Source organism: Homo sapiens, chromosome 5 (assembly GCF_000001405.40).
Source record: "Homo sapiens chromosome 5, GRCh38.p14 Primary Assembly".
Taxonomy (NCBI): Eukaryota; Metazoa; Chordata; class Mammalia; order Primates; family Hominidae; genus Homo; species Homo sapiens.
Window position 1 is genome coordinate 71,714,449 of NC_000005.10, and position 8,092 is coordinate 71,722,540.

Consider the following 8,092-nt stretch of genomic DNA (forward strand, 5'->3'; position numbering starts at 1 on the left):
TTCCCATGCACCCTGCTCTCCAGCAACCCAGAGCACTCAGTGCTCCCCAGATCTCCTACCTTGATGACTTGACTTTGCTGCCTGCCCGCCCCCAAGGTCCCAGAGTGGGATGTTTGCTATTGTTGGAATTCTACCCATCCCCTAGGACTCAGTAGCTCATTCAAAGGATGCCCCTTTTTCACGAAGATTCCCTCTTGTGGCAATGAATCTCTGACTTCTCTGGGCTCCTCTTTCTCTAGTAGGACCCTCATCTCACTAAGTCATTGTATTTTAGGAGTTTGTGGACGTGGGCACAAATGACTAGACCCAAAGATCCTCAAGGCAAGAAGTGTCTGGATTATCTCAGCAGTCCTCAAAATACTTAGCAGAGTTGTGAGCATATAGGGCACCCAGATTTTAAAATTAAGTCTTGAAATGGAAAGCTTTTCAATTGGAAGCTTAAAAAATTGACTGAAAAGCTTTGTTTAATTTCGCCTGCTTTGCTCCTTCAGAAGCAGTCTGTAAAGCACATGTTCTTTGCTACTGCATCTCCACCCCTCCCAATTTAGAACCGACTCCAAGTGTCCTTTACTTACAGATTATTTTCTTTCAGATAGTGATAAAGATGTTTAGTTAGAACACAGTGAATAGCAGTTCCTTTGGAAGGCTATGGCTTGGAAGTAAACAGAACATAAATGTCAATGGGAATTAATCTCTCTTCTGCAGGGAGGAAGAGTGGAGAGCAAACAATGTAGAAATGAAAAAAAGTCACCCAAGAGATTGCATATGTGTACCAAAGAGAACAGAGTGATGTTTAACTTGGAGGAAAGTGCAACTAACACAAATAAGGAGAAACAGTCTTAAATATGAATATTTAGGAAGTCAATAAAACTGAGGACTTACCAAAATTTAAATTGAAATTTTAAATTTTTATTTTATTTTTGTCACAGGGGCTCACTTTGTCACCCAAGCTGGAGTGCAGTGGTGGTGTGATCATGGCTCATTGCAACCTCAACTTCTTGAGCCCAATTAATCCTCCTACCTCAGCCTCCTGAGTAGCTGGGACTACAGGCATGTGCCACCACTTCTGACTAATTTTTTTTTTCTTTTCTTTTTTTTTTTCTTTTGTAGATATGTGGTTTCACCATGTTGACCAGACTGTTTTTTTGTTTTGTTTTGTTTTGTTTTGTTTTTGAGACAGAGCCTCGCTTTGTCACCTAGGCTGGAGTGTAGTGGTGTGATCTCAGCTCACTGCAATCTCTGCCCTGCTGGGTTCAAGTAATTCTCCTGCCTCAGCCTCCCAAGTAGCTGGGATTACAGGTGCATGCCACCACACCTGGCTAATTTGTGTATTTTTAGTAGAGATGGGGTTTTGCCATGTTGGCCAGGCTGATCTCAAACTCCTGACCTCAGGTGATCCACCTGCCTTGGCCTCCCAAAGTGCTGGGATTACGGGCGTGAGCCATTGTGCCCAGCCAGACCAGACTGGTCTTGAACTTTTGAGCTCAAATAATCCTCTTGCCTCGGCCTTCCAAAGTGTTAGGATTACAGGTGTAAGCCACTGCACCTCGCTGAAATTGAGGATGTTTTACTGTTGAACAAGACTTGGTTGGGGTGAGGGATGGGAGAGGAGGGTTAATGGTTAACAAAGTAGTCTGATATTTGGGAAATACGACAACCTAAGAGGCCAGTGTTATTCTGAGTTACATAGGAACAGAAATTATTCACAACTGAAGGAGAAAGGAAGGGAGAGAGAAATACTAAAGCTTAGGAAAAAACATCACTGTGGTGTTAAATTCTGCCATGACCTTCTCATTACTTAAAATCTTAGGGCTCTAGGGTTCTAATTTAGTAATATTGAACACATATGTTTTAAGGGGTGTGTGTGTGTGTTTTCTTTTTTCCAAGAACAATACAGACATCGTTTTCTTGCCAAGTCACAAATCAATTGATGGGTTATTTTTATAGTGAAAAGTTCAGGACTCCAAGAGTTAGGCATGAGTAAGAAGAGGTTTTTAAAATGTTCTCAGATAGCAGTATGTTGTAAGTAGATCTTGCTGGCACTGGTTTCTTGGCTGTCTGCTTATGAGATTTCTTTACTTGAGCTATTTCAAAGAGCAGGACTGGAGGCCTACTCTATCTCAGAAAAGATGATTAAGAGAGATTTGTTCACATTAAATCTCCAAAGACCCATCCTGGCCATTGCTTCTCTTTCATGAGGTGACCTGCCTCCCTTTTCTATATCTGGGGTGAGAAGTAGTAGTTAAATTCCATATGATTTTAATTGCTTGGGGCATCAGTGATGGGCTTTTTTCCCCTAATGGAGTCATTACAAAGTAGTAAGAATATACAAATTCTCCTAACAGGGCATAATATGAAGACTGTGGAATGTCTCATGCTTTTGTTTCTTTTTGAGTTTTAACTTACATAAAAGTTGTCTTTGGGAAGAAGATAGCCTAGAATTTACTATACCATGCTAGCTAAAGACAGTTTATAAAGTCATTCTGTTCAAGATGAAGAAAAGCCTGTGGTATGTAAGTGACAAAGATGCCCCTGGCTTGTTTCACAGGATTTTCCAAGAGTCCTTTCCCTAACCCCTTAACTAAATGTGCCTTCCTTATAAGAAAATGATAGCACCAACTCAAGTTCAGCAAGATTTAAACTTTGGATTTTTTTCCAATAGAAGTAGCACAAAGGGAAAGTTATTACTTGTGTCTGGGTAGAACAAAATTGGAGAGAAAGTATTGCATTGACAATATCTACATCCTTCAGGAAGAATAGGCTAAAATCTTATTTGAGATTATTTTTCTTCTGAAGCTTAGAATAGTTTAAAGATCACTGGAGATGGTTTTTGCAGTGAGTGTCAATATGTCTCTGTAAGGTTTTAACAGTAAAACGTGCTGCCACTGAAGTTTTCTTGTGCAGAATCAAAAGGTATGTGTGGAAGGCAGAGCTGAGGGAGGTGTTAGATACATTTTCAAGTTGGGTTTACCCCACAGCAAAATATTTTGATGCTGTTAATATGTGTGCTATTCATTAGAAGAGATATCACTTCTTGAATTGCTTCCCAGTGAGTATTTGAGTACCAATTAAATACTTGATAGTTGAAGTAACCAGGCATATATTGTGTATTAAACTATCTTAATGACCCACATAATCTGCTATGCAATAAATTTGTGGGAGAAAAGTATTGATAGATGGTTTGGATTGAGTAGTCATAGATATTTACACTGAGATTTAAATAACAGAAGTAGTGAGCCTTTTGGAAATACAGGAAGACCTTTCAAGGAGGGGTAAGTGCAAAGACATCAAAGTATGAATGAGATTGGCCTGCTAGAGGACCAGAAAGAAGGCCATGTGAGGTTGGAGTGGAGGAGTCTGGGGCAGAGTGGTAGAACATGAGGTGGAGAGGGGTGAAGATCATATAATGCTTTGCAAGTCAGGATGAGGAATCTAGATTCAGTGCTTAGTAAGATTAGGAGTCATTAGTGTATTTTAAGGGGAAAAATACTCTGGTTGGTGGTGAACTATGGAGTAGAGGAAGGCAAGAGAAGATAGGGTGGGGATTAAGTGGTAGACATTAAGTTGACTGGGGCAGCTGTCTAGGACTGGGTTGTAGTAATGGGGATGGAGAAGAGTGGATGAATTTAGGAACAGTTGAGGGAAAGATGGTGTGGTGAAGGAAGCCAGGTGAGCAAGCAGGTCTAAGCGGGAAAGCATTGCTTTTCCTACAGGAATTTTCCTGTGCATTCAGGCTGTAAGGATCTCAACTTTTAAAAAAGCCACATTGTTCTCCCAAGTTGTTGGGGAGCTGGTTCACCATTGACTTCTGATCTCTGGAGATATTTTCATAATCATGGAGCTGTCTTTCTTTTCACTCTTTTACTCTCTTTCTAGACAGGCTTCTTGGATACCAAGGGTTGGTGGTGGGTGGGGGGAGGTTCTGGGGATGGTTAAATTTGCCTGGGCAGCCTCAAAGTTCAAAAAGGAGGGACAGGGAAGCTTAGCTAAGAACCAGGAGTTTGACATACTTAATCTCTCATTTCATCCTACTGATGACTTTGTGAGGTATATCTTTTTAATCCTAGATCTACAAAAGAGAAAGCTGAGGCTTGGAGAGGTTCTTCATTTTGTTCAAAGTCATACAACTTTTACGTGGTGTAGCCAGGATGGGAACCAGAGCCTGGCTCTCTGCACTTCCAACACCACTGCTGAATCCGGGTTTGTCTGTTTTCCCTCTCTTCTTTTAACTATTGTCACACAGATTCCATCATAGAACCCATCACGTGGAGGGCCACTATTTCTCTTTCTTTTGTATAGTATGTTTGCTTCCCCTACCCCACAGAGTAAGGTGCTCAGCAAATGTGGCTGTCTGGAGGCAACACCCCCTTCTCACCGCCACACTTGGGGTTGGGGTGCGAGGCAAGGCAGGGCTGGCGAGGTGGATGTTGCAGCTGTCACCACTGCTAGGTGTTGGGAAACGACTCTCCTGCCTGTGCATTGACCCGAAGGCATTTTCCATTTCCTAGGCCCCTCCCGCTTCCCGTCCCTCACCTCTAGCCCCTCGGCTTCAGCTCAGGCCCCTCGGGGAGCATCCCTTGCCGTGAGACTGACAGCCTTTGGGGGCGCAGGGTCCTGTTCTCTGCGCTCTAGCCCATCTGTGCGCAGAGCCTCGTTCCCAGGCGCCTGGAACCCGGCGGGCATTGACGTCAAGCGCCGGCGGAGCGCTGCCTACAGACGGTTGACCCGGGCCCTCCTCCACACCCCCTTCCTTCTTCGCCTCCTCCCTCTTTCCTGCACGGGGGCTCGGGCTCACTATAAAAGGTGGGAGCGCGTGGTGCCCCAGCAACGACGAGTTTCAGAACGATGGAGAGCTCCCGCGTGAGGCTGCTGCCCCTCCTGGGCGCCGCCCTGCTGCTGATGCTACCTCTGTTGGGTACCCGTGCCCAGGAGGACGCCGAGCTCCAGCCCCGAGCCCTGGACATCTACTCTGCCGTGGATGATGCCTCCCACGAGAAGGAGCTGGTCGGTATTCCCCTCGCTCTCGACCCCCTTGAGCTGTCGCCTTGTCTCTTCTCTTGCACGCCTCCCTCCTCCCCCCACCCCCACTCCTATTCCCAGAGTCAGGGCGCGGGGAGCTGAGCGCAACGCCCAGGCACCCACTGCCATCCGAAGAGCGTCTCGAGCTCACGGGCTCCTGGCAGTCTGTTGAGCGAATCCCTCATCCCGGCCCCTCTGAGCAACAGGGACCCCAGCGGCTCAGAGACCCGCGGTCAGTACCTGGGACAGCGTCCGCTAAGTTTCCACCCCTCGACCATTCCCTGTGTCCGCGGAGTCCCACCGCAGAGTGCGTGTGGGTCCGGGGCTCCTTATAACTAGGGCTGGAAGTGCGCACCTGGGCTGGGCTCGCAGCCAAGGCGGCAACTTCAGGCTCCGAAGCGGTGTGTTGCAGATCGAAGCGCTGCAAGAAGTCTTGAAGAAGCTCAAGAGTAAACGTGTTCCCATCTATGAGAAGAAGTATGGCCAAGTCCCCATGGTAAGGTTTGTGGTCACTCCCTTCCCGTGTTTTTCCAAGAGAAAGTACACCGCCTTGAATCGTACACACAGTCTTCTCCGTAGGATGTGGCTAAATAACTTAGGTAATGGGCTTGCAGGATTCTGTGGGCTCCTTCTTCCTTCCCGGGTGAGGAAATGGGAAAGCAGGAACAGGGGTTGTAAGAAAGTGTAAGTCTATTGTTTGTTGCTCAGGAAAAAGGTCTGATTTTTTTCCCCTCTGAGAGGGCAAGAAAAGGAGCCAGGAAATGTGATGCTCCCCTTCCCACGCCCCCCAACCCTCGCCACTTAAAGGTGGAAGAAACTAGGATAAAACTAATAATGTAAGTTTCTTTAAAAAATGTACTCTCACTGAGGTTATAAGCACAAGGCTCCCTGTTTCAGATCTGACTGTACGTAGACCTCTTGTGATGGTGATGGGGTCCAATTGCCCCTTTCAAGAGACAGAAATTGCGTTGACTGTGAGACTTGCCTGTTGGGAACCTGGGTTTGTTCATACTCGATGACCACACATTTTGTTGTTTCAGTGTGACGCCGGTGAGCAGTGTGCAGTGAGGAAAGGGGCAAGGATCGGGAAGCTGTGTGACTGTCCCCGAGGAACCTCCTGCAATTCCTTCCTCCTGAAGTGCTTATGAAGGGGCGTCCATTCTCCTCCATACATCCCCATCCCTCTACTTTCCCCAGAGGACCACACCTTCCTCCCTGGAGTTTGGCTTAAGCAACAGATAAAGTTTTTATTTTCCTCTGAAGGGAAAGGGCTCTTTTCCTGCTGTTTCAAAAATAAAAGAACACATTAGATGTTACTGTGTGAAGAATAATGCCTTGTATGGTGTTGATACGTGTGTGAAGTATTCTTATTTTATTTGTCTGACAAACTCTTGTGTACCTTTGTGTAAAGAAGGGAAGCTTTGTTTGAAAATTGTATTTTTGTATGTGGCATGGCAGAATGAAAATTAGATCTAGCTAATCTCGGTAGATGTCATTACAACCTGGAAAATAAATCACCCTAAGTGACACAAATTGAAGCATGTACAAATTATACATAATAAAGTGTTTTTAATAATTGCCCATAGTGCACTGCTGTTTTCATATAAGTAATTTAAGTGGAAATGGTGAGATTAATCATGCTGTTGTTTTCAAAGAAAAATATTTTAAAAATAGCAGCCTATTGGGAAAATGGCACCTTAGCTCCAAGGAGTTTTGATCGTTAATTAGAAGTTTGCCAAGCCAGTTTTAGTATACTCTATTTTTCTTTGATTGCAGCGATGTGGTGTGTGTATGTGTGTGTGTATGTGTGTGTGTGTGTGTGTGTGAGAGAGAGAGAGAGAAAGAGAGAGATGAATGAGATGGAGATGGTTGGAGTTGAGGTTATATAATTTTGTTTATTAAAACCTTTAGCCAGACCCTTTACTTTAAACAGTGAGACCAATAAACTATAAACAGTTTCATGTTTTAGTCACATTAAAAGCAATTTGAAAAATTAGAAATTTTGTTTTGACAACTCCCTTATTAGAAAATATACATTGATTTAAAGATATGGGCTGTTTAGGGTTGTTATTTGTCTAAAGACTCCAAGGTTATAAGACCCATTCATTCCCACAAGTAAATTCACACTCTTGGAAAAAATTCTCTATTCCAGGAGAAAGAGTCATTTCAGAAAATAGTTTTGAGGGGAACAAATAAAAATTGGAGGAGGTGAGAATTCAACTCAAGAAATTAAAACATATTAAATGTAAAGTTAAGTAGCTTTTAAATATTTCTGAGTGCTTATTTGAGGTCACATTTCCAAGGGTTTAAACCAGACTAAGTAACATCTAAGTAGCAGCATCATGAGAGAAATAAATGTTAACAGCTTCCTAATCCAAACTCAAGAGGCACTTGCATAATAGCAGAATTGAAAAATAAAGCCCCTCCACGGATTCATAGGGAGTTTTCTGATAGAAAATATTCTTATACACAGTTACCATTTTCAGTGTGATTATTATTATTAGCATGCCTAATCTTGCAAGATAGATATTATTACTATTTTTCAGAGTAGAAAACAGAGGGCAAGAGAATTATGGAATTTGCTTACACCATATAATCCTAAATAATAATTTTAGCTGTAATCCCTTTGACTCCAAAGATTTGTCCTTTTTCTCCATGTCACTTAGGCAATCAACAGACTGGGCTTTGAATTCCCCAGAAAGCACATCTTTCCTTAATAAAAATTGCTCACTGGGGGCCAAGGTGTATTTTTTGGGGCTGTGTTTCCGTTTGAATTCCCCTACACAAGCCTATATGTGATTAGAATGTGGTATTTTTGTTTGTTTCTTTTCTTTTCTTTTCTTTTTTTTTTTTTTTTTGAGACAGGGTCTCACTCTGTCACCCAGGCTGAAGTGCAGTGGCACAATTACGGCTCACTGCAGCTTCGATCTCCCAGGCTCAAGTGATCCTCCCACCTCAGGCTTCTAAGTAGCTTGGACCACAAGCATGCACCACCATGCCTGGCTAACTTTTGTATTTTTAGTAGAGACGGAGCTTCGCCATGTTGTCCAGGCTGATCTCAAACTCCTGGGCT

General features: G+C 43.7%; 1 protein-coding gene across 1 annotated transcript, besides 1 other annotated feature; it reads left to right on the forward strand.

Annotated features, from left to right (window-relative positions):
* On the forward strand, nt 4,827-6,597 carry CARTPT (CART prepropeptide). The gene is made up of 3 exons (NM_004291.4): nt 4,827-5,004; nt 5,432-5,515; nt 6,060-6,597. The coding sequence occupies exons 1-3, from the start codon at nt 4,846-4,848 to the stop codon at nt 6,165-6,167; spliced, it is 351 nt and encodes a 116-aa protein (NP_004282.1). The 5' UTR covers nt 4,827-4,845; the 3' UTR covers nt 6,168-6,597.
* Nucleotides 4,965-5,851: an enhancer, noted in NCBI's record as "H3K4me1 hESC enhancer chr5:71015240-71016126 (GRCh37/hg19 assembly coordinates)". NCBI's record gives its function as "activates a minimal SCP1, AML or CMV promoter by ChIP-STARR-seq in naive and primed H9 embryonic stem cells {active_cell/tissue: H9 hESC(naive and primed)}" and the evidence as "EXISTENCE:reporter gene assay evidence [ECO:0000049][PMID:30033119]".